Here is a 25,904-nt window from a genome sequence, read left to right as displayed (position 1 = left end):
ATCTCTAAATTAGGGATAGTAATAGTGCTTACTTCAGAGGGTGCTGCGAGCATTCAATGAGTTACAGAGCCTGGCATATGCTCTCAATGTTAGCTAGTAGTATATATACTATATGAGACCCTCAGGAAAAGCCCCAAATAGTGCCGGTTCCCAACTCTGCTATGTAACAGATTTTCCTTTTCAGGGGCAGCATATGTGGCAGACTGTAATTTACGAAGATGGCAAGAACAATGTCTCCTGATCCATGTGCTTTTCTAGAACCTCATACTCCCCCATCAAGAGGTAGAGTCTAATCCTCTGCCCCTTGAGTCTGGGGGACTTGCGGCTTGCTTGGAACCGATTTTGGATGGCTATAATCCTGCCATGTAACATTCACAGCTGGGTTTTTAAAAGCCACGTGTGTGCTTCTGCCTCCTTAGTGAGAACCCTGGGCCAACAAACAAGATGTTTCTCTGGCCTGAGGCCATGTGATGAGGCCACATGAACTTTTTCCAGCTCATAGCCCTAGCTGAGGTCCCAGCCAACAGCCAGCATCCACCGCGAGATGAATGAGAGAGGACACTCCACGCCCCCGAGCCATGGTGCCACCCCTGCTCTCGAGTCCTCCTAGCTGAGGCCCCAGACATTGTGGAGCAGACAAGCTGCCTCTGCCTCCCCCGTCCCCCACCATGCTCTTTCCAGATTCATGACCCACAGAATTAGAAGAAAATTTAAATGGTGATTATTTTACACCACTGACTTTGGGGTGGTTTGTTACACACCAGTCCGCAGCAACTGTGACAGCATACAAGATTTAACAGAGTGAGCAGACGCATTCGCCCGCATGCTGAACAGCGTGCTGAAGGCTCCCACCCCTTCCAAAATGATGGGCTCCACATCTGCCTCAAAGAACGTGTAACCCCTGCAAATCCTTCCCTAAAGTCTCTTTGCTTGGCAATCCTTCTGCTTGGCCAGGCATGGTGGCTCGTGCCTGTAATCCCAGCACTTTGAGAGGCTGAGGCGGGTGGATCATTTGAGGTCAGGAGTTCAAGACCAGCCTGGCCAACACGGGGAAACCCTGTCTCTACTAAAATACAAAAATTAGCCGGGCGTAGTGGTGGGCACCTGTAATCCCAGCTATTCAGGAGGTTGAAGCAGGAGAACTGCGTGAACTAGGGAGGTAGAGGTTGCAGTGAGCCGAGATCGCGCCCTGCACTCCAGCTGGGAAACAGAGTGAGACTGTCTCAAAAGTGAAAACAAAACTCCTGTTTCCTTGTCTGACCCTTGTCTGTATAACACACCTTTGTGTCCCCAGTAAAGCAGAGTTGTGGCAGACATCATTAGGGGCCTATAATTTCTACCTCAAAGAAGCCACCAGATCTGTCCCTTTTAGTGGTTAGACTGAACAGGACTGACTTGGCTAAGGGCAAAACCCCTCTTTCCACCTCCTTCCACACTCAGAATTGTTTGGCAGCCTCTCTTTAGGAGGCAGGTAATAAACAGTAAACCTTACATAGTGCTCAGTGTGTGGTGGCTCTGGTGCAAGTGCCTTGTGTTTAGTCGGGAAGACGGCTCTGTGAGGTGGGTGTTATCATCATCCCTTTTATATAGAGGAGAAAATACGCACATAGAGGTTAACTAACTTGTGAAGTAAGGCTGAATTTGTGGCGGAGCCAAGATTGGGGCCCAGGGCCAGGCGTGGTGGCTCATGCCTGTGGTCTCAGCACTTGGGAGGCTGAGGCGGGAGGATCGCTTGAGCCCAGGAGTTGAAGATCAGCCTGGGCAACATAGGGAGAGCTCATCTCTACAAAAAGTTTAGAAATTAGCCAGGCGTGGCGGTGTGCACCTGGAGTCCCAGCTAGCCAGGAGGCTGAGTTGGGAGGATCACCTGAGCCCAGGAGGTTGAGGCTGCAGTGAGCCATGATAGTGCCACACTGCACTCCAGCCTGGGCCACAGAATGAGACCTTGTCTCAAAAAAAAGATAGAAATGCAGAACATGGGGCTCCACCCCACGAAGAGCCATTTTCAGGATTCTACCGAATCAGAATCTACATTTTTTCAAAATCTCGGGGGTGGTGGTGGGAGTGGGGGAGTTGTAACAGGTTAGTTTGAGAAGCTCTGACCTTTCTTAACCTCTACACCTGCTGCGCAGCACACAGAGGCACCCCCACCAGAAACCTTTTGAAGACTGGGGTGCAAAGCAAATTCACCACTGGTGCTGAGAGGTAACATCTGGTTTCTCTCAGTACAAACAGCACGCACTGCTGGCCAGGGGGTAGTGGCTTCTGCCTGTAATCCCAGCACTTTGGGAAGCTGAGGTGGGAGCAGCATCACTTGAGCCCTGGAGTTTTGAGACCAGCCTAGACAACATGGTGAGACCTTGTCTCTACAAAAAATACAAAAAATTAGTGGGGCGTGGTGGCACATGCCCGTAGAACCAGCGACTCGGGAGGCTGAGACAGGAGGAACCACCTGAATTCGGGGAGTTCAAAGTTGCAGTGAGCAGTGATTGAATCACTGCACTCCAGCCTGGGCAAGAGCAAGACCCAGTCTAAAAAAAAACCACCACTGCTCCAGGGGTCCAGGGGTCAGGCACACTCAATGGTAGTAATTGCTGCCACTATTTTTTTTTTTTTTTGAGACAGGGTTTTGCTTTATCACCGAGGCTGGAGTACAGTGGTGTGGTCATGGGTCACTGCAACCTCCATCTCCTGGGCTTAAGCGATCCTCCCACCTCAGCCTGCCACCTAGCTGGGATCATAGGTGTGCACCACTGCGCCCAGCTAATTTTTATTTTTTGTAGAGATGGGGGTCTCACTATGTTGCCCAGGCTGGTCTCAGACTCCTGGGCTCAAGCAGTCCTCCCACCTCGGCCTTCCAAAGTGCTGGGCTTACGGTGTGAGCCAGCGCACCCAGCCTTGCTGCCACTGGTGTAGGTATTTACTATGTGCCAGGCACTGCTCTATCTTCCCTTGCTGAATCCCCAAAGTAGCCTCAAGGACACAGGTGCTATTATTTCCCATTTTACAAATGAGAAAACTGAGAACACAGATAGTAAATAATTTCCCCAAAGTCTAACAGCTAGTAAGCAAGGAGGGCTGGATTTGAAACCAAACTCCACCACTCACAGCTTTTTGGAAGGTAAGCGGAAAGGGGCTGAGTGGATTCCCTTCTGATCATTACTGTTTGAAACATCGTGGGCCCTTTGACACTTAGCCTCTGACCTCTTGCTGTTCTCTCTCCATTCCAGCAGTGTCCATCCCTCAGCCTCAGAGCCAGGTGAAAAGATCCCCCTCGAACAGTGCCTTTGACAAGCCTTAAAGAAAAATCCCGTCACGTGCGGCTACTCGGGCTTCTCTTAAATGTACAGGGAGGGCAGGAGGGGTGCGTGGGGGCTGATCTAGCGAAGTACTCACATCTAGGCAGAGTTTAAAAAGTTGGTAGCAGGGCACGGTGGCTCCTGCCTATAATCCCAGCACCTTGGGAGGTCGAGGCACGAGGATTGCTTGAGTCCAGGTGTTTGACATCAGCCTGGGCATCATAGCAAGACCACATCTCTAAACAAAATTTTAAAATACGGTGGCTCACGCCTGTAATCCCAGCACTTTGGGAGGCCGAGGTGGGCGGATCACAAGGTCAGGAGATCAAGACCATCCTGACCAACATGGTGAAACCCCGTCTCTACTAAAAATACAAAAAAATAAGCCAGGAGTGGTGGCGGGCACCTGTAGTCCCAGCTACTCTGGAGGCTGAGGTGGGAGAATGGTGTGAACCCGGGAGGTGGAGCTTGCAATGAGCCAAGACCACGCCACTGCACTCCAGCCTGGGTGACAGAGCGAGACTCTGTCTCAAAAAAAAGAAAAATAAATTAAAAGTTGGTGATTTAATGAAAATTGTCTCCTTCACTGACATTAGCCGAGAGGTCAGAGGTCACACTGTAGACACCAGCTGTCGAGGCACAGGCGCTGCTCGCTCCTCTTAGGCAACTCTTAGGACTTTAACACTCCAGGGAAATCATCATGAAGTCAAACCGCTGCAGGGAACAGTCACACTGGCCCCAGGCCACACAACAATATCACTGGCAGGTTTTATCTTCTCTGAGTAAGTAAGATAAAGTGAAAAGCCTAGTTTAAGGAGCCGGCTTAGCTTGTTCAAAATCCCTGGGCCTGGCTTAGAGCAAGTAGAGACAGGTGTGGGAAAGGAAATAAATCAGACCAAGCTGAGCCCATCATTAAAGTTTAATTCTCTAGAAAGTTTAGTATGAAGTATTTGACATACAAAAAGCCATAAAGAATGTCACGCACAGCTTGCCAGGAGCAAAAAAAAAAAAAAAAAAAAAAAAGACGAAAGAAAAAGCACGTTACAGTGAACGTCCATGTACCCATTGCCCAATTGGAGAAAGAAAACATGCCCAGTGTATTAAAGCCCCTGGTGTGTCCTCCCTGCCTGCCTCCTCTGAGTGAAGCATAATCCTAAATGTGGTTTCTTGTGTTATTCTAGTCTTTTTTTTTAAAGAAAAATCTTTCTGCCAATGGGGATAATGGCTCCATGTGGCCGAGGTGAGACTAAGAATCTGGAGAAAGAGCATCAGTCTGATGTAGCTTTTATTGAGTAAAGGAAAAAGGGAATTCAGCCGCATGATACAGAGGTTCCAGTTGATCAGAGTGCGCAAACACCCTTCCTGTCTGCGTGATGGGAACCGCACCAGCACACGGGGCACGCGGAAGCCACTGCCGCAAGGAGATGGTTCCCACTCTCACGCACATGAGCAGCTCCTGGTCAGTCCCAAGAGGCAAGGGCAGAGGGCATGGTGGCTCTCACAGAGCTACTTTACAAATAAACTGTGTGTCTTCCTCAGGAGTCTCTTACAACACTTTTAAAAAACTGAACAGAAAATAGGGCAAAGGGCCAGGTGGCAGTGCCATGAGGCACATGGAATGTCCTGGTCTGTGGAATCGTGGAGGGTGACAGGAGCAGCATGATCAGGCATTGTATGACGAGGATGACACGGTGCCACCATGGCCTGTCCAGTTGGTGTGGATAAACTGCCCTGGTTTGGCCAAGAGTTCATAGGTGTGAGCCCCGAAGTAATCCCGCTGAGCCTAGGAAACGAGAGAGTAGGTTGGTCAGGACAGTCCATGGCGCACGCCCCCGAGGGGCCAGCCAGGTTAATCCCTGCTCCACAGGCTTACCTGGATGAGGCTGGCTGGAAGCATCTCATGTCTGTACCCGTCATAGAAGGAGAGGGCAGTGGTAAAACAGGGCATGGGAATGCCAGCCTGGACCCCAGTGCTGACTGCCCGCCGCCAGGAGTCCTGAGCACAAAACGCACGGCCAGAGATTAGTGATCTGCCCCTGGTGACGCGGATAGATTTTCATTCATATCAATGTGGGTAAATGAAAAACTGATGGTTAGGCCAGGCGCGGTGGCTCACGCCTGTCATCCCAGCACTTTGGAAGGCTGAGGTGGGCGGATCACGAGGTCAGGAGTTCAAGACCAGTCTAGCCAACATGGTGAAACCCCATCTCTACTAAAAATACAAAAAAAAAAAAAAAATTAGCCAGGTATGTTGGCACACCTGTAGTCCCAGCTACTTAGGAAGGCTGGGGCAGGAGAATCGCTTGAACCCAGGAGGCGGAGGTTGCAGTGAGCCAAGATCATGCCACTGTACTCCAGCCTGGGTGACAGAGCGAGACTCTGTCTCAAAAAAACAAAAAACCAAAAAAAAAAAACAAAAAACCAAACATCACAACTGATGGCCCCAGGGAGGTAGAGTAACCATGGCACCAGCCCTAGGCTACATACCTGGCAGTTTTCAACAGCTGACTTAAAGAAGTCGTCCAGTAGGAGGTTCTGAAGTTCCGGGTTTCGATCAAATGCATCCTTTATCTTTCCTAGGAATACACTGAAATAATCAAGGGGGGAAAAAAGCAATGAGTCTTTTTTTTTTTTTTTTTGAGACGGAGTCCCGCTTTGTCACCAGGCTGGAGTGGAGTGGCACGATCTCAGCTCACAGCAACCTCCACCTCCCAGGTTCAAGCGATTCTCCTGCCTCAGCCTCGCCAGTAGCTGGGATTACAGGCACGCACCACTACAACCGGCTAATTTTTGTATTTTTAGTAGAGACAGGGTTTCACCGTGTTAGCCAGGATGGTCTGGATCTCCTGACCTCGTGATCCGCCTGCCTCGGCCTCCCAAAACGCTGGGATTACAGGTGTGAGCCACCGCGCCCGGCCAAATGCAATGAATCTTAACTCTAACAGGGAAGTAAGCTGGAAGCCGATGTATACCCTAGTGAAACAAAGTTACATTTCTCATTTCTTCAAGCTGTTAACCCTTTTCCTGTTTAGAAAAAAAGTGCAGCTCGCTGCCAGCGCTCATTTAATTTTACATAAACACGCTTTTTGAGGCTGAAGAAAATCTGACGATTTTCAATATGAAAATAAAATATAAAAACTATTCTTGGCGTTATTTCTAAAGAGAACTAATATTAGAATCATCTGAATCACCAGAATCATCTACTTCAGAAAAATCAGATTCATCAAATGAATCTTCAGCCAACATGAGAACGATGTAACGTCATGTGTAGAAATGCTACGTTTTCTATGATTTGGCATTTTCAATGAAAATACAGAGCAAAATTCCCAAGAGGCAAGGCCAGAGGGCACGATAGTTCACAGAAGTACTTTAAAAGGTGTAGTGTAGTAGGTGTAATGCGGAGCCGGGCGCAGTGGCTCACGCCTGTAATCCCAGCACTTTGGGAGGCTGAGGCGGGCAGATCACCCAAGGCAAGGAGTTCGAGACCAGCCTGGCTAACATGGTGAAACCCTGTTTCCACTACAAATACAAAAGAATTAGCCGGACATGGTGGCGTGCCCTTGTAATCCCAGTTACTTAGGACGCTGAGGCAGGAGAATCACTTGAACCCGGGAGGCAGAGGTTGCAGTGAGTCAAGATCGCATCATGGCACTCCAGTTTGGGCAATAAGAGCGAAACTTGGTCTCAAAAGAAAAAAAAAGGTGTAGTGTGGACAATCTAGTTACAGCAACTGAGGTACAGTGAAGAAGGGAACCACATAATCTAAGCCTATCTTGTGCCAGTGTCCAGTGATGGGGCTAAGTGCCCATCCCTGGAAACTGCTCAAGCTAAGTGTCCTAAGATCGCACTTCTGCACAGCCGTGTGAGTCCTTCCCGTCGGACCCTGGGCTGCCTCTCACTTACCTTCTAATGATGCAGCCCCCTCTCCACATCAGGGCGATGCCACCATAATTGAGAGTCCAGCCAAACTCGGTGGCTGCCTGCCTTAGCAGCATAAAGCCTTGAGCGTAAGAGATGATCTTGGAAGCGTAGAGTGCCTAAAGAGTGACACAGAGACCTACTAGGATTGCCATTAGGAGAGTGACCGCCTTATGTCTACCAGTCTTATTCTCATCAGCAGTGGAGATCCCAGAAGGGCCAATATTCTAGGAAAACATTGTAAGTCAAGATCCAAGTCAAGGCTGAACTTCATTCCACCTGCCATCCTGTGGCCTCGAGTGTTCTCCCACCACAACCCCCACCCCCACTGCCTTCCGCAGGACCAACAAAGACCACTGCCAGGGACTGTGTCCCACCTTCCGAATGTCCTCCAGGAATGATTTCTTATCACCATCAAACTGGAACTTCTGGGGACCCTTCAGCTTTTTGCTAGCTTGAATTCTCTCATCCTTCAGAGATGATAAGCACCGAGCAAAGACAGCTTCTCCTACATGGGGAGATCGGGAAGAGGAAACAGATTACTGTCAGGCCTCTGAGCCCAAGCTAAACTATCATATCCCCTGTGACCTGCATGTATACATCCAGATGGCCTGAAGCAAGTGAAGAATCACAAAAGAAGTGAAAATGGCTGGTTCCTGCCTTTACTGATGACATTCCACCATTGTGATTTGTTCCTGCCCCACCTTAACTGAGCGATTAACCTTGTGACATTCCTTCTCCTGGCTCAGAACCTCCCCAACTGAGCACCTTGTGACCCCTCGGCCCTGCCCGTAAGAGAAAAACCCCCTTTGACTGTAATTTTCCACTACCTGCCCAAATCCTATAAAATGGCCCCACCCCTATCTCCCTTCGCTGACTCTTCGGACTCAACCTGCCTGCACCCAGGTGATTAAAAAGCTTTATTGCTCACACAAAGCCTGTTTGGTGGTCTTTTCACACGGATGCGCATGAAAATTACCAAAGTTCGCACAGCAACCAGAAGAAAGGTGGAGCAGGAAAGTCTGTTTATACAAAGAGCTGAAAGTTTCAACCTTAGGCCACAAAAGTTGACATGGATCGGAAGGAACTTTTATAAGAAGCTCTAAACAGTTAATTTGATAACTAAAACTCTTAAGACAATCTTCCAATACAAACATGAGTATTCAATCACAAAGATTAACATGAAATTCAAAAGGGAGTTTTGAGGGAAAATGAAGAGATAGAAACCACTGTTATGGCTGGGCAAGGTGGCTAACACCTGTAATCCCAGCACTTTGGCAGGCTGAGGTGGGAGGATCACTTGAGCCCAGGAGTTCAAGGCTACAGTGAGCCATGATCACACCACTGCTCTCCAGCCTGGGCAACACAGTGAGACCCTGTCTCTAAAACCAGTAAAATAAAATAAAAACCACTGTTATGTAGAATACTCAGTGTTGGTCCATGAGTAAAATTTCAAATTCAATTTAGAGGACCTTAATTTTTTTTTTTGAAGATTTTACATTGATAAGTCACATTTACGGACTCACCTCTCAAAAAAATGTTAGGTTTTTATATTTTACGGTTTTCAGTATAGCCGTAATCATTCAAGTTTAACCACTTTACTTCATTTGAATTAAAAAGTCAATGTAGTATTTTAATATTAAGACATTTAGTATTTTCAGAAAGTATTCCTTATAAAAGACTTGCTCAACTGACAACTTATAGTTAGAATAAATGACTCTTTAACCACTTTTTCCCCCATAGACAAAATGAAGTAAAATCTCAGGGAACTAACAGAGGACTTTATTTCTGAGGAAAGAGGAGCAGCTATGGCTTGAGACTGCTAACCCTACTCCAAACACACAAAAGCAGCTACCTCTCTCCTGGCCCAAATGCACACACAGGATGACTTAGCATTTCTAGAAGGAAGCTTTGTAAGATGACTGGTGCAACAGGCTATGAGGCAAACCCTTCCTGTTAGAGGGGGAGAGGGCAGCTGGAAGACTTCCCTGTTAGTTCACAAATAATGATGGCTCCCAGCAGGGGGTGGGCCCAGCCACCCTGGGGGAAGAGGTATATGGATCCACAGGAGGAGAGTAGGATTCTGAGATCCTAATACTTACACATATACTTGAGTCCGTGATGAATAAATTGCTCCTAGCTATTGGCCCCTCCCTCCTCACCTATGTTATGGCTCAGATCGGCTAAAAGCAGCCAACTTCCTTCTATACAGCACGGAACTGTAGAAACCACCGACTTTCCTCCTTACTCTGCCTTACACCACACAGTTCAATAGGGCGAGGCACAATGAACAGGGAGGTCAAAAGGGGAGAAGAGTCAAGGGAGAGAAAGGCAACCTGTATCCAGAGGAGCAAACAGGAAAAATTCTGTTTTATTATTTTTGAGATGCTTCTTTTTTTTTTTTTAGGCGGAGTCTTGCTCGGTCGCCCAGCCTGGAGTGCAGTGGTGCGATCTCAGCCCACTGCAAATTCCGCCTCCCAGGTTCAAGTGATTCTCCTGCCTCAGCCTCCTGAGTAGCTGGGATTACAGGCACGGGTCACTATGCCTGGCTAACTTTCGTATTTTTAGTAGAGATGGGGTTTCGCCATGTTGGTCAGGCTGGACTCAAACTCCTGACCTCGTGATCCGCCCACCTCGGTCACCCAAAGTGCTGGGATTACAGGCGTGAGCCACCGCGCCTGGCCCAATTCTGTTTTAATATAGTGAGAACAATCTGCCAGAAGCAAAGATCAGCCTCTCATTAACCACGAGAGGCATCCTTCGTTCTCCTTTTTCATTCCTGCCAGAAGTCTATGTATTTTACTCTTAGAACCACCTTTGCTGGGCATGGTGGCTCACGCCTGCAATCCCAGCACTTTTGGAAGCCGAGGCGGGCAGATCCCCTGAGGTTAGGAGTTCGAGACCAGCCTGACCAATATGGTAAAACCCCGTCTCCACTAATAACACACAAAAATTAGCCAGGCATGGTAGCGCATGCCTGTAATCCCAGCTACTCGGGAGGCTGAGGCAGGAGAATCACTTGAACCCGGGAGGTGGAGGTTGCAGTGACCCGAGATCATGCCACTGAACTCCAGCCTGGGTGACAGAGCACAACACCGTCTCAAAAAACAAACAAACACACTGAAAACCACCCCCCCGGCCAAGATTTTGATATTGTTAATCCCCTCTCGTTTTATGTTTATTTCTTTATATTATTTCCTTATCTTTCTGAGTTTGATGCTTAGCTCACTAATGTAAGATATAAAACAAGTGGGCAGGATACACACCAACTTCAGGATAGTGGCTTTCTTCTAAAAGAGGAAGGAGAAGGAACTTAGCAAAACAACGAGGACTCAAATGGATAGGTAATTTTTATCTTTTTAATATCTAGGGGAAAAAAGTAAATTTTTAATAATTTCTGAGTACACAAGCATATGTTATTCGCAAACTTTTTTTGGAGGGGATGGAGTCTCATTCTGTTGCCCAGGCTGGAGTGCAGTGGCATGATCTTGGCTCACTGCAACCTCTGCCTCCTGGGTTCAAGCGATTCTCATGGCTCAACCTCCTGAGTAGCTGGGATTACAGGCACCTGCTAATTTTTTTTTTTTTTTGAGACGAAGTCTCGCTCTGTCACCCAGGCTGGAGTGCAGTGGTGCCATCTCAGCTCACTGCAAACTCTGCCTCCCAGGTTCAAGCAATTCTCCTGCCTCAGCCTCCTGAGTGGCTGGGACTACAGGCACGTGCCACCACACCTGGCTAATTTTTTGTATTTTTAGTAGAAACAGGGTTTCATCATGTTAGCCAGGATGGTCTCAATCTCCTGACCTCATGATCCACCCGCCTCGGCCTCCCAAAGTGCTGGCATTACAGGCGTGAACCACTGTGCCCGGCCCTGTTATTCATGAACTTTTCTATGAAAAATTTTACTCAAGTTACCTGCCTCATAAATAAAATCTTAGATCACTGACTACAATTACATCACTAATGCTAAAATATTCCAAAGATAAAACTGGATAGGAAGGACAGTCACTTCTGAATTTACCTCACAGTTTGTACGAATGAGATAAGAACTACAAGGAAGAGAATCAAAAGCAGCGTCAGCCTCTCTCACACTGTCAGTTTCTTCAACGCAAGAAAGAGCAAAAGGCACTCTGAAAGCTAAAGAGGGCTGAAGAGATTCTCTAAAGACCAGTCTGTATCTGTCCTCCAGACATCAAGATCAGAATAGTGGACGAAAGGGCCCATGTGAAAAGCATAACATTACCAATGAGGGTGACGGGTACGCCGTATTCCAGGGCGGAGATGGCGGTCCACTTCCCTGTGCCCTTCTGCCCCGCGCTGTCCCTGATCTTTGGCAGCAGGTGTTTGCCATCGGTGTCTTGGAACTTGAGAATATTGGCTGTGATTTCAATCAGGAATGAGTCTAGCTCTGTCTTATTCCAATCCTCAAAGGCCTACATGCAGAACACAGGAGAGAACCATGTTAGAGGAATGAGGGCTGAGCAAGGAAGCCCCTTGTCCAATGTCCACGCTGACCAATGCTCACGGTTGCCAGCAGGCTCTGCTCGCGTCTGCCTGGGGACTTCTGCTCCTGCTGGTTGAGTTTTATGCTAACCCAGAGTCAGTTGTGTTTGTTCTGAACCTGGTTATACTGAATTTCTGGCCACCAGAAGTGTTGTCTCCTCAGAGGCAAGGGCTCCTCACTTCACTTAGGTCTCTGTGCAGTGTCGCCTCCTCAGAAGCCTTCTGCAATCACCGGATCTTGTCCCAGTTTACTCTTCGTTCTCACAGTCATCGCTAACTAGTTTGATATTGTATATTTATTTCTGTCTGTCTTCCCAGCTCCGGGAGGGCAGGCACTTTGCTTTCTTCACTAGTATATCCCCAGCATTTAGAATCATGCTTGGCATATAGTAAAGCACTCGTGTGTTTGCTGAGTGAACACGTTAAGTATTATATATACCAATAAAAAATGAACACAAAAAGAATAGCACTGTTTCTGTGAAAGAAAACTAAGGTAATGTTTTAGAAAGAACAATTAACAGCAATCCAGTGAAACAAACAATAGTCAAAGTAAGTGAGGATGACATGAATAAAAAACTAGGAGGAAAACAACAAAAAATCTGGAAAGCTATACTGTATGCCTTGCTAGAGTCTGTAAATCACATCCCATTGGAAATAACTGAAACTAGAAATTCTAGATGGTAAGACACGACTAGAAAGCGCATCAGCAAACCATACTTAACGAGAAGGCCTTGGCCCTCCAAAAAATGGCGGGTGAATGAAAGTCCTTTCCTATGTTTTCAGTTAAAATCTATGTTTACCTCATGATAAAGATACATTCATCTAAAGTATTTAGGGAAAACAAAAGTATGGATACCTGCAGTTTACTTTGAATGTATCCAAAAAATAAGATGAAATTGGTGGGGGATGGACAGACATTGCTAAAGCAAGTACAGGAACCTGTGGATGGGAGAAAGGAGGAGGTGTGTATCCAGGTGTTCACTGTAAAACTCTCAAACTTCTGTGCTGCATGGTTGAATATTGTCATAATAAAATGTTGGGGGAAATGCTTCAGCTTCCCTACTTGGACTGACTTTTCAGATTAACTATCAAAAAGCCAATCCCAACTTGATCAGGAAAGAAAGCTTCTGCTGCATCTGCCATGTGGGACAACTGTGGGAGTAAATGGGACAGGTATGTGGAGTGACACAGTGCCTGACACCAGGTAAGCTACGCTAAATGGTGGTGATGATAACCACCCAGACTCTGTGGGGACTTTCTGCTTAGTGACTGACTAGCATAGTGTATAGGCCTATTACTAACAGTTTCCCTCAAATTAGGCTGAGTCCATGCAGGCCACCCGAATGGCCAAGGGGATAGGAATGAAGAAAAGATTCGGTGTCTGTGGCAAAGTGAGCACTCCCTGCAGAACGGACACAGAGGCAGTGCCGGGGCCTCACCTGGGCCATCTCGTCCTGCGCCATGCCCAGCACGTCTTTCATCAGGTGGTATGCCTCACAGATCAGCTGCATGTCCCCATACTCTATCCCGTTGTGCACCATCTTCACGAAGTGGCCTGCTCCCTCATCTCCCACCTGTCAGGACAACAAGCACCAAGAGGCCTTCAGAGAAACAGGCGACACATCAGAGAAGTCCACATCAGCTTTCATGCCAACATCCCTGGCAAGGCTACCTCTCCACACAAAAAATAACAAGTATAAAATGAGTACAGCATTTTTGATACAAGAATCATATAGCAATTCAAAGCAAGCTTCAGTCCAGTACAATATTATTTAACACTAATTCTAGACTCATTCTTCTCAAGGTTTCTCAAAGTCCCTGAATTCACTTTCAATACTTATGGCTCTCTAGCCTGTATTTTCTACTCTTTCTCATCATTCAAAGCAACTCCCCACCTTCCCAGCCCCCACCCACAAGAAAAAAAGTCCTCTTTTTCCCAAAGTTACCACTTTTCTAGCAACTAGAGGTTAAAATATATTGGCCAATTAAATCACTTGTTTTTTTTCAAAATATAAATGTATTGTAGTTGTTCCTAATGGCTACTGAAAAGTAAAATGACCCTAGATCCAAGGTCTCAACCTTGTAAGCCCAGAAAGGAGTCCCTCCAAGGCCCCATCATTATATTTATATTTATATTTATATTTATAAATAAAGACCAGATCTTTATTTATAAGCTGGCAAGATGTATAAAATCAGAATACCCGTTAATGAATGTAGGATGAAAACCTTAACTATGGATCTTCGTGGTTACAAATGTTAGTCCGGTCAACACATTCTGGCCCTATAGACAAGCAACTGGGAAGCCAGATTATCCGAAAATTATTTAGTTGTCAAGAACTGGAACAAAGGGAGTGACGAGAGCCAAACAGTTCATGGCATCAAACTCTCAGTCATCTACACCCAGCTCCATGACAGGGACACACCTGCCCAGGAGGCCAGGTGTTTGGATGACCTGGGCAGTCTCTCTCCTGGCTGTCACCACCTGGACCGTCAGTTGTATAACTGACGCTCACATCAGGACTCCATTGTCCGTGTTTCTTTTTTTTTTTTGAAACGGAGTCTCGCTCTGTCGCCCAGGCTGGAGTGCAGCGGTGTGATCTTGGCTCAGCACAACACCTGCCTCCTGGGTTCAAGCAATTCTAACGCCTCAGCCTCCTGATGAGCTGGGATTACAGGAGCACACCGCCACACTCAGCTAATTTTTGTAGACATGGAGTTTCACCATGTTGGCCAGGCTGGTCTCAAACTCCTGACCTCAGGTGATCCACTCACCTCAGCCTCTCACAGTGCTGGGATTCCAGGCATGAGCCACCACGCCTGGCCTTGTCCATGTTTCTATTGCTGCCCCTGCTGACTTCTGATTTTGACACTCTGGCCACAGAGTAACATGGCTGCTAACATCTTACTTCACCTTACCCTTCCTGCCACTTCAGCCATGAACTAAGGAGGGCCTGCTTGATCAACACACGTAGGGGCAAGGACTGTGCTTCTCTTCATGACTTTGTCCTAAGTGTGTGTATCTAAAAAAAAGTTGCAGGCTGGGTGCGGTGGCTCACGCCTATAATCCCAACACTTTGGGAGGCCAAGGTGGGCCGATTACTTGAAGTCAGGAGTTTAAGACCAGCTTGGGCAACATGGTGAAACCCCATCTCTACCAAAAATACAAAAATTAGCCAGGCATGGTGGCACATGCCTGTAATCCCAGCTACAATGGAGGCTGAGGCATGAGAATCGCTTGAACCCAGGAGGCGGAAGTTGCAGTGAGCTGAGATTATGCCACTGCACTCCAGCCTGGACGATAAAGCAAGACTGTCTCAAAAAAAAAAAAAAAAAAAAAAAAAAGTTGCTACCACTCACTTTTATTGCAGTGATCTTTTTGTTTTTTTCTGTTTAAGAGACAGGGTCTCTCTCTGTTACCCAGGCCAGAGTGCAGTAGTATGATCACTGCTCACTGCAGCCTTGAACTCGTGGGCTCAAGGGATCCTCCCAAAATACTGGATTATAAGCACGAGCCACTACACCCGGCCTTTTACCGCAGTAATCTACTGTCAGGGAACAGAGGTCCCTTTCCAATCCTTCACACTAATGAGAAGATTACTCAGCTCTTTACGTCAGTCCCAGCACCAGCCTCTTTCTACCCTAAGCAGATTCTGACTGAGCTCAATGGCCAACCACTGGTGAAAAGGTAAGGACAAGTGAGCTGCTGTGGCCAAAGCCACCAAGCACTGGCAGGCCTAGGAGGGAGGGCTTCCCGGATTCCTCAAAGGCCTGAGTCCTTATTTCAACCTCAGCATTGATTTCATATAAAATAAAATTGAATAATAAAATTCACATTAAAATTGCTGATATAAAATTAAAGGGAATCAGGAGCTGAAGAGAGCTTGGAGATCATGTAATCCAACCCCATATCTTACAGATAAGGAAACTGAAGTCCATGAAGGGACGTGGCTTGCCTGATGTCACAGTTAAGTTTATGGAAAGCCAGAACTGCCACTCAGGTCTCCTGAGCCTAATGCTTTTTTCCATCCACAGCATGGCTGAACTACAATATGAGATAAAGTTTACTTTAACAGCAACACGAGGCCGGGCATGGTGGCGCATGCCTGTAACCTCAGCACTTTGTGAGGCCAAGGCAGGCAGATGACTTGAGAGTCCAGGAGTTTGAGACCAGCCTGGGTGACATGGTGAAACCCCGTCTCTACAAAAAATACAAATATTAGCTAGGCGTGGTGGCATGCACCTGCAGTCCCAGCTACTCAGGAGGCTGAGGCAGGAGGATTGCTTGAGCCTGGGAGGTGGAGGTTGCGGTGAGCCAAGATCGCACCACTGTACTATGAACTAGGTTAGGCCTCCTTCATATTCAGTGAGGGTGCAAGTCCACAGGTTACTTTGTTCAAGCACAGAATGCCTGAATCCCACACTACAGGATGGGGAATTTTCCACGTTCATGGAATGTTGACACAGCAACAGTACCTTCAATCTTCCACCTTTCACCCATGCAAGCAAACGCCACTTTTGATTCTGACATTCTTTCCTTTGGCCATGAAATAATATGGCTCGAAAAAATCTTATTTCACTTCATCCTATTCCTTTTTAAAGAATTCATCTTTTAGATGAATTATAGAAGGCTGCTTTTAATATCAACCTCAAGGCTATGAACAGTCAGCTAAGATACAAAGATGTGAACAGCAGGCATGCATTCTAGGCGTTGGCTATTCTAGCAATCAAAGATCGAGACGTTTATGTCACCAAGCTAACCCCTGGGAGACCACGGTGGCCTTTCTCCACGCACTTCATCACTTAGACACGCCCATGTTGCCAATTGGCTTTAAAGAGTAGCCCAGAACTTGCCCAGTCACAGCAGGGTTCTCCAGTTCCCACTTTTGCAGCAATGCCTTGGAAGATGGTCTTGATGTGGGGCCTGTGTAAAGAAACAGTGTGGTTCAGTTAATGAGAAGAGACGGGCTGAGAGCCCATACCCATAGACACCAACATACCCATAGACACCAACCCCTATCTTTTCCTTTCTTTTTTTTTTTTTTTGAGACAGGGTCTCACGTTGTCACCCAGGCTGGAATGCAGTGGTGTGATCTCAGCTCACTGCAGCCTCCTCAACCTCCCAGGTTCAAGTAATCTTCCTGCCTCGGCCCCCTAAGTGGCTAAGACTACAGGTATGTGACACCACACCCAGCTCATTTTTTTGGATTTTGTAGAGATGGGGTTTTGCCATGTTGCCCAGATTGGTCTCGAACTCCTGAGCTCAAGTGATCCACCCACCGTGGATACCCAATGTGCTGGGATTACAGGCATAAGCCACCACCGCACTGGGCCCATCTTTTTCTTTCTAATGGGAGGTGGAAGTGCCCACAAAAAGATAATGAATGTGCTAAGTTCTCAAGGTCAACTGCAGACCCTTGACTGAAACTGGCCCCTCCTCCAGGTCCTGGTGGGCCCTCAAAGCAGACTGGACTATCGGACTGAGACTACAGACAGAAAGGCTGAGCAGAAGCATCACCAAAGCACCAGAAGAAATGTCTTCTTAGAGACAGGGTCTCACTCTGTTGCCCAGGCTGGAGTGCAGTGGCACAATCACGGCTCCCTGCAGCCTCAAACTCCTGGACTTAGGTGATCCTCCTGCCTCAGCCTCCCAAGTAGGTGGGGCTACAGGTGTGTGCCATCACACCCAGCTAATTAAAAACTTTTTTTTGTAGGGACAGGATCTTGCTATGTTGCCCAGGCTGGTGTTGAGCTCCTGGCCTCAAGCAATCCTCACACCTCAGCTTCCCAAAGTGCTGGGACCATAGGCGTGAGCCACCATGCCTGGCTAATTTTTTGTTGGTGGTGCAGAGATGGGGTCTCCCTATGTTGATGTGGCTGGTCTTGAACTCCTCGGATCAAGCACTCCTCCCACCTCAGCCTCTTGAGTCACTGAAATTACAGGCATAAGCCATCGCACCCGGCTCAGAAATTTCTACTGCAGCAGCAGCAGACAGTATGATTGCAAACAGCAGGCAATACGAAAGTTCCTTTAGAGATCCTCTTTTAATTTTTTCCCTTTTCTTTATTTCTCCTTATAATGGCTTTTAGCAAGTGAAGAGACCCTCTTTCATTTGTCTGGATGTGTGCTGCCAGGCACAGAATGGTTCTGGACATTTGGATTAAGAACCAGGCAGCGTTTTTGAGAGCTACATTACCATTCAGAGAAAGGCCGCTGTTCATTCCTTCCACAGCTCAGCACGCGGATATATTACTCTTGAGACTTTCCCTCACTGTTCTGCTCCCTAATGGCCAGTCAAGGCTTCCTCACAAAAAGTTTCTGGTACAGACATGAAATCTTACAGGGTTGCAAAGTTAACATTTAGGATTAGGGATGAAGACAGCCACACCGGAAACCGCAGAGCTTCACTGAACTTTTACAGTGTCCTTCTGGTAAAGGTGCCATTTGTACTTCTGCCACCACAGTATGAGGAAAGAGAACTGATGGAAACAACTGGAGCACTCCATATGTCAAATACTTTTACGTGCATTGTCTGCTGGTTGCCTTTCTAACTGCTCACTGTGCAGGTGCTTCGAGATAAGTATTTTCAAACCTTTTTTTTTTTTCTTAAGAAACAGGGTCTTGCTATGTTGTCCAGGCTGGCCTTGAACACCTGGGCTCAAGCAGTTCTCTCACCTCAGTCTCCTGAATAGCTGGCACTACAGGTGCAAGCCACTGCACACACAGCTGTTTAAACTTCTGAGAAGCAGAAAGGCCTCTCTACTTCTGTGTTTTATTAATAACACACTGAAGAGAATCCCCAGACTCATTCACCAGAAAGGTAATTAAAAAAATTATTTTTGGCTGGGCGCAGTGGCTCACACCTGTAATCCCAGCACTTTGGGAGGCTGAGGCAGGCAGATCACGAGATCAGGGGATCAAGACCATCCTGGCTAACACGGTGAAACCCCGTCTCTACTAAAAATACAAAAAATTAGCTGGGCGTGGTCGTGGGTGCCTGTAGTTCCAGCCACTTGGGAGGCTGAGGCGAGAGAATGGCGTGAACCTGGCAGGTGGGGCTTGCAGTGAGCAGAGATCGCGCCACTGCACTCTGCACTCCAACCTGGGCAACAGAGCAAGACTCCGTCTCAAAAAAAGAATCATTTTTTCTTTTTTACTGAGACCGAGTCTCGCTCTGTCACCCATGATGGAGTGCAGTGGTGAGATCTCGGCTCATTGCAACCTCTGCCTCCCAGGTTCAAGTGATTCTTGTGCCTCAGCCTCCCATGTAGCTGGGATTAGAGGTGCCCTCCACCATGCCCGGCTAATTTTTGTATTATTAGTAGAGAGTTTCACCATGTTGGCCAGGCTGGTCTTGAACTCCTGACCTCAAGTGATCCTCCCATCTCAGTCTCCCAAAGTGCTGGGATTACAGGCGTGAGCCACCATGCCCAGCCTTAAAGAATCATATTTCAGACCAGGCACGGTGGCTCACGCCTGTAATCCCAGTACTTTGGGAGGCCAGGGCAAGCGGATTGCCCACAATTATTTATATATATATCGGATTGCCCACAATTATTTATATATATGTGTGTGTGTGTGTGTGTGTGTGTATTTTTTGTTTGTTTTGTTTTGTTTTGTTTTTGAAACAAACTCTCACTCTGTCGCCAGGGTGAAGTGCAGTGGCGCGATCTCGGCTCACTAACCTCTGCCTCCTAGGTTCAAGCAATTCTCCTGTCTCAGCCTCCCAAGTAGCTGGGACTACAGGCGCACGCCACCATGCCCGGCTAATTTTTGTATTTTTAGTAGAGACAGGAATTTACCATGTTGGCCAGGATCGTCTAGATCTCCTGACCTGGTGATCTGCCTGCCTCAGCCTCCCGAAGTGCTGGGATTACAGGCGTGAGCCACCACGCCCGGCCAATTTATATTTTTTAATTAAAAAAATGTTTGTTTTACTTTTTTGTAGAAACAGGATCTCGCTATGTTGTCCAGGCTAGTCTTCAACTCCTGGGCTCAAATGATCATTCACCGCAGCTTCCCAAAGTGCTGGGCAGTGATTACAGGCATGGGCCACTATGCCCAGCCTGTTACCCACGATTATCACATTAAGTTACTTTTGGGTTATATATCAGCTAAAAGAGGCAGACCTTATTCCTACATCCAGACATTGCACAGAACATTACCTAAACTGCTTCCTTAAAGCCTATTTAGAGGCCAAGTGTGGTGGTTCATGCCTGTAATCCCTGCACTTTGGGAGGCCAAGGCGGGCAGATCGCCTAAGGTCAGGAGTTCGAGACCACCCAAGGTAACATGGTGAAACCCTGTCTCTACTAAAAGGCAAAAAATTAGCCAGGCATGGTGGCATGTGCCTGTAGTCCCAGCTACTCAGGAGGCTGACGCACAAGAATTGCTTGAGCCCAGGAGACGGGGGGTGCAGTGAGCTAAGATCTCACCACTGCACTCCTGCCTGGGCGGGAAAAAAAAAAAAAGCCTATTTAGAACGTCAGGTATCAGTCTTGATAGAAATAACAGAAGAAAAAAGGCAAAAGAGGATTGTGCACATATACTATATCAAAGCAACAAAATGTCTAGATAAAAGAAATTGCCAGCATCTCCCAGCTGTCACACTCAGGGCACCACAGAGATCAGGGTGGCAGAACTGCTCCTGGCTTATTCGTTCTCAAAGTCCAGCTCCCTTGTACAGAGATGGGCACAGTGCTGATGGCACTCACCACGCTTCTTTGTTCCCTCCTGGCATGAGCGATGGGCCATACCGGGCCCCTTCCTCTCCACCACTGACTCCGCTCCCCACAAATAAAATTCCCTTGGCCTTGAGGTCTCGGCACCGTCTCTGAAGGACAGAAAAATAATTTCATTATGCTTCCATGTTTCATTATGCTTCCATGTTTCATTATGCTACCCAAAAATGTTTCCCTTATAAATGAGAGGAAGTATAAGATAGGAATGGAGAGCCTACATTTACAGGAAATGACCCAAGGATCTAGGAATAACTGATGACTCAGGAAAGTTAATCCCCTATGTGTAGGAGTTAAAAAACAAAACAATACAACTATGGACATTCACGATACCTACCTCATCCCCAAAGTAAAATAATTAAGCCAAACACACATTGGCATTTTACTGGAAAAGACCTTGAATAAGACTCAACGAAGAGTAGGTGTAATACAACTTAATGCCATTCAGCACTTCAGAGCACACAGGAATTCCCTCAGCATTTGATACCATTAGAGGAGTGGTTCTAAACCAGTTATAGACTGACATATCATGGATTACTTGGAAGGGGAAGGGGAGGAGTTAAAACGTAATTCTCAGCCTGCTGTATCTGAGTTAGTCATCCTTTGAGTTGTATGTGTGACTGAGAATCTCACCCACCAAGTGTCTTTTTTTTTTTTTTTTTTTTCAGATGGAGTTTCACTCTGTCGCCCAGGCTGGAGTGCAGTGGCATGATCTCGGCTCACTGCAACTTCTGCCTCCCAGGTTCAAACAATTCTCCTGCCTCAGCCTCCCAAGTAGCTGGGACTACAGGCGCATGCCACCATGCCAGGCTAATTTTTTGTATTTTTAGTAGAGACGGGTTTTCGCCATGTTAGCCAGGATGGTCTTGATCTCTTGACCTCTTGGTCCACCTGCCTCCGTCTCCCAAAGTGCTGGGATTACAGGTGTGAGCCACCACACCCGGCCCTTCTGTTAAGTGTGTCTTAACAGAAAAAAAGGCTGAGAACTATTGTATCAGTAGTAATCTCAAAAAAATCAGTACCACAGGGCAGTTCACCCTACTGTCACATATGCGATGCTGACACTTTTTTCTAGAATGTTCTCGGAACCTGGAAGAATCTGGACTGAAGAACACTTACTGTGGTGTCCCTATATTCAGAATTTCCTCCGTCAATGATGATGTCACCAGTATCCAACAATGGTACCTGTAACCAGACACCAGCATTAAGATGGACCAAAAATGAAACATACCTTGGCAAATTAAAACAAACAAGAATTTATTCCAAATAAACATAGTCTAAAAAGAGTCTCGTTCTGTTGCCCAGCTTGGAATGCAGGAGTGCGAACATGGCTCACTGAAACCCTGAACTCCTGCAGTGGTGTGAACATGACTCACTGCAACTTTGAACTCCTTGAACCACAATGCCCAGCTAGTTTTAAAATTTTTTTTGTAGGCCAGGCGCGGTGGCTCACGCCTGTTATCCCAGCACTTTGGGAGGCCGAGGTGGGTGGATCATAAGGTCAGGAGATCAAGACCATCCTGGCTAACATGGTGAAACCTCGTCTCTACTAAAAATACGAAAAATTAGCCGGGCGTTGTGGCAGGCGCCTTGTAGTCCCAGCTACTCGGGAGGCTGAGGCAGGAGAATGGCGTGAACCCGGGAGGTGGAGCTTGCAGTGAGCTGAGATCGCAACACTGCACTCCAGCCTGGGGGACAGAGTGAGACCCCGTCTCAAAAAAAAAAAATTTTTTTTGAGATGGAGTCTCACCATGTCGCCCAGGCTGGTCTCAAACTCCTGGGCTAAAAGCCTCCTGGCTTGGCAGGAGGCCAACGCACCCAGCCTACTTAATCTTCAATAATCCTCTCTGTGGCCAGAGCTGCACACTATTTAAAAGTTTAGGGCTGACCAGGCTCAGTGGCTCACACCTGTAATCCCAACACTTTGGGAGGTTGAGGCAGGAGGATCGCTTGAGCCCAGGAATTTGAGACCAGCATGGACAGCATAGCAAGACCCCATTTCTATTTTTAAGTAAGTATACAGATTAAACACTGACTATAATGTGTCTAGAAGAGAGTGGGGATTCAGTAAATACATATCAAATGGTTTAGTGTATGAATGAATGATTTTATGACAACAGTTCGGAGGTCAGGAAGAGACAGAGCCTTGAACATGAATATCTACCTACAGCACACCAACCAGGCTGGGCTTTATTATTATTATTACTTTATTAATTAATTAATTAATTTATTTATTTATTTGAGACGGAGTCTCGCACTGTCACCCAGGCTGCAATGCAGTGGTGTGATCTCGGCTCACTGCAAGCTCTGCCTCCCGGGTTCACGCCACTCTCCTGCCTCAGCCTCCCAAGTAGCTGGGACTACAGGCACCCACCACCACGCCTGGCTAATTTTTTGTATTTTTAGTAGAGATGGGGTTTCACCGTGTTAGCTAGGATGGTCTCGATCTCCTGACCTCATGATCCACCCACCTCTGCCTCCCAAAGTGCTGGGATTACAGGCGTGAGCCACCGCGCCCAGCCTGGGCTTCATTATATTATTCAATCTTCCCCCTACAAGGCTCCAGTTAACATTACTTAGTATTTTCCTATACTGAAGAATAATCCACCATTTTTCAGTTTTCTCTGTCTGAAACTGATTACAGGCAGCTTGCCACACAAAAAATTTAGTATGTCCTTTTTTTAAACTCAGTGTTCTTCCTTTCTAGGTCATTTGATTGAAAAACAGTGGCATACTGGTTACAAATCCTTCTCCCTGTGGAAACAACCCCACTGTTGACACGACTCCTCTAGAAAGGAATGCTCAGCCTCCCCTGAGCTATCACTGCACTGCTTACAGCAAAACATTTCTTCTAAATGGGAGTGCCTGGGTTTTTTCAGAGTTGTTACTATAGAATTATTTTGGGTATCTAAACACATTATTTCCACTGGTTCCCCTACTTTTTTCTTCCAAAAAAGATATACCTGCTAAAGCCAACAAATTGTTTGGTACAAAAATAAGCATCCAGTTCCCTAGGATTCCCTAAGGAGATCTTGATTTTATTTTCATTTTTTTTTTGAGACGGAGTCTCGCTCTGTCGCCAAACTGGAGTGGCACAATCTCAGGTCACTGTAACCTCCACCTCCCAGGTTCAAGTGATTCTCATTCCTCAGCCTCCCGAGTAACTGGGATTACAGGCATGAGCCACAAAGCCCAGCTAATTTTTATATTTTTAGTAGAGACGGGGTTTCACCATGTTGGCCAGGCTGGTCTCGAACCTGGGACCATAAGCTTGTAGCTGGGACCATAAGCTTACACCACCATACCCAGCTAATTTTTTAATTTTATGTAGAGACAGGGTTTCGCCATGTTGCCCAGGCTGGTCTCGAACTCCTGGGCTCAAACGATCCATCTGAACCAGCCTCCCAAAAAGTGCTGGGATTACAGGCCTGAGCCACTGTGCCCCGCCTTAATGTTTATTGAAATGTCTGTTAGTATTCTCAGAATTACTACCACCAAAGGACAAAGTTACTTCATAAGCGCTTATCAAGTTAACCAACACTGCAACAGTTAAGCAATCATTTGGTCAGAGCTTAGCAGAAATTGAAAAAAAAAAATCTCTAGAGTTAAAAGAAGGAGAACTAAAGGAAGAAACCAAAAACAGCTGCTATCGTGGTAGCAGCTGAGAGCACAGCTGGCCTCACCAATTTCTCGATGAAATCATCCACAGCTTGCCCAGCCTTCACCAGGAGGATGATCCGCCGGGGCTTCTTCAGCTTGGAGACCATCTCTTTCAGGGACTGGGCACCCACCACTTTGGTTCCCTTTGCCTCATTGGCCAAGAAATCATCAACTTTGGAGACAGTCCTATTAAAAGCACAGACCTAGAAGGACAAAAGTCCTGAGTAGGAGATCCAGGACACACAAGACTTTCAGACTGTGGCCAAAGTAACAATGACCTTTCCATTCAACCCAAGTTCTGGGGAGGTCAGACCTGCCTTTGCCTTTTCTTCCCCCAGCTGTGGGAGGCTCACTGTAAAGTTATGTCACCTCAGTAGGATGAAAACGGCGGACAACCGAGGCGAAGGCCAACTACCCCCGGTGTGTCAGGTAGAATCCACACCCAACGTGTTAGGACTCAAAATCAAATCCAGGAACTGGCCGGTTCAACAGGCTCTATCTGTTGTTATTGATCATCCTGGCGTCTAAGCCACTTTAACATTTAGAAGAAACATTTTCACTCTCCCCAGATCTCATCAGGCAATCAAGTTAGAGCTCTACACAGCCAGCAAGGGTTCTCCTCCCGCACCCTTCTTCTCTACTTAAGACACTAATTCGTTCATTCGGGCTGTGAACCTCACGGACCCACAGGCACACTCCGCAGGACTAAGTTCGGGATCGGCCCGCCCACGCCTACAGGGTGCTTCTCCTTTCCATACAAAAATGCCACGAGCAGCAACAGAGCACATTAGCAAAGCACGGCCAGGAGACCCGTAAGCTCCCAAACCTATCGCCGGCCTCGGCTAAAGCGCCCGGGAACCAGAGAGAAGACAACGCGCCCACGCCGCTTACCACAAAGCCGTGGTCATTCATGTTCAGAATTAAGTTCTGGCCCATGACGGCCAATCCGATCAGCGCGATGTCAGCTCTAGAGAGGCAGAAACAGAACAAAGGAAAGAGTCAGCACCGCTCGACGCGCTGCAACCCAGGGGTCCGGTCCTTCCACATTTGGCCGTGACTGGGAGTCTGCACTTTCCTCCGCGCCTCCCGCGGGCCCCCAGAAGCCGGGCGCGCACGCTGCAGAGCCTCGGCCGGGCAGGCGGCCCCCAGCCCCGCCCTCGCGCCCGGCTCCCGCTGGCACGCGTCCCGCAGGTGTCCCTGCAGACTCGGCGAGGCCTGGCCGCGCCTCCTCCCTGGCCCTCGAAGGGACCCGCCCCGCCCCATGCCTGCGCGGCCGAGAGGGCAGGGGGCCGGGCCCGCAGGGAAGGAGCTCTGGGCCCGAGACGCCGTAGGGCCAGGGTCACAGAGCCCCAAGTGAGCTCAGGCGACCCCCAGGGTGGGAGGCGTCGGAGAGAACGAGGGAGATCTCGACCCCCAAAGAGTTCCCCGCCCGCTGAGGCCGAGCCGGGCTGCCCCTGGCGAGTCACTCACTGGGCCATGGCGGCGGACAGAGCAGAACCGAAGAGCGGCGACGCGCGGAGGACGAGTGAGGGAAAGACCCGCAGCGGCTCCCTCCAGAAACTGCGGCCGCTCACGCCCGGCTTTTCGGCGCCGGCCAATCGAATGGAAGGGGGTGGAGCCATGAAGCCACACCATTGGCTCTCCCCGACGCCTGTTAGACCATCCGAGGCAAACGTGCCCGCCCACCCCCGGGGGCCGGATCAGTGGAGCGCCGAGCACCTAGATGACATTGCCCCGGCGAGGCTCCGGGCTCCCCGCCCACGCGCAGAGCTTTCCGCTCGTCCCAGC

The 25,904-nt window shown here is 47.8% G+C and overlaps 1 protein-coding gene across 3 annotated transcripts, besides 3 other annotated features; it reads right to left on the bottom strand.

Annotated features, from left to right (window-relative positions):
* Positions 1–4,200: 4,200 nt before the first annotated feature.
* On the bottom strand, positions 4,201–25,648 carry PGD (phosphogluconate dehydrogenase). 3 transcript variants are annotated; one of them, NM_001304452.2, is made up of 13 exons: positions 25,382–25,648; positions 25,008–25,083; positions 24,140–24,319; positions 21,576–21,641; positions 20,433–20,551; positions 16,572–16,641; positions 13,160–13,294; positions 11,461–11,650; positions 7,595–7,725; positions 7,203–7,336; positions 5,787–5,886; positions 5,173–5,295; positions 4,201–5,082 (listed from the first exon to the last, which is right to left on the bottom strand). In NM_001304452.2, the coding sequence occupies exons 2-13, from the start codon at positions 25,050–25,052 to the stop codon at positions 4,963–4,965; spliced, it is 1,413 nt and encodes a 470-aa protein (NP_001291381.1). In that variant the 5' UTR covers positions 25,053–25,083; positions 25,382–25,648; the 3' UTR covers positions 4,201–4,962. The 3 variants fall into 3 exon arrangements, with proteins under 3 accessions (NP_001291381.1, NP_002622.2, NP_001291380.1); NM_002631.4 differs by having other exon boundaries at positions 25,587–25,648; NM_001304451.2 differs by lacking the exon at positions 21,576–21,641 and having other exon boundaries at positions 25,587–25,648.
* Positions 15,214–15,414: a silencer, noted in NCBI's record as "peak70 fragment used in MPRA reporter construct". NCBI's record gives its function as "represses an SCP1 promoter by STARR-seq MPRAs in K562 erythroleukemia cells {active_cell/tissue: K562}" and the evidence as "EXISTENCE:reporter gene assay evidence [ECO:0000049][PMID:32103011]".
* Positions 24,882–25,058: a silencer, noted in NCBI's record as "fragment chr1:10459711-10459887 (GRCh37/hg19 assembly coordinates)". NCBI's record gives its function as "represses an EF-1alpha promoter that drives an FKBP-Casp9 reporter gene in an ReSE screen in phorbol 12-myristate 13-acetate-treated (for megakaryocytic differentiation) K562 erythroleukemia cells {active_cell/tissue: K562(+PMA)}" and the evidence as "EXISTENCE:reporter gene assay evidence [ECO:0000049][PMID:32094911]".
* Positions 25,151–25,470: a silencer, noted in NCBI's record as "silent region_245". NCBI's record gives its function as "represses an Ori minimal core promoter by ATAC-STARR-seq in GM12878 lymphoblastoid cells {active_cell/tissue: GM12878}" and the evidence as "EXISTENCE:reporter gene assay evidence [ECO:0000049][PMID:35858748]".

Source organism: Homo sapiens, chromosome 1 (assembly GCF_000001405.40).
Source record: "Homo sapiens chromosome 1, GRCh38.p14 Primary Assembly".
NCBI classification, from domain to species: Eukaryota; Metazoa; Chordata; class Mammalia; order Primates; family Hominidae; genus Homo; species Homo sapiens.
Note: the sequence above shows the minus strand (reverse complement) of the source record. Positions and strands in the feature narration are given on the sequence as shown.

What these genes read in the sequence shown, in the direction of transcription:
- PGD (NM_002631.4), bottom strand. An exon ending in CGCAGGACGAGATGGCCCAG is followed by an intron (nt 11,651 to 13,159) that starts GTGAGGCCCCGG and finishes TTCTGCATGTAG; the next exon opens with GCCTTTGAGGATTGGAATAA. An exon ending in TTCCAGCCAGCCTCATCCAG is followed by an intron (nt 5,083 to 5,172) that starts GTAAGCCTGTGG and finishes CTCGTTTCCTAG; the next exon opens with GCTCAGCGGGATTACTTCGG.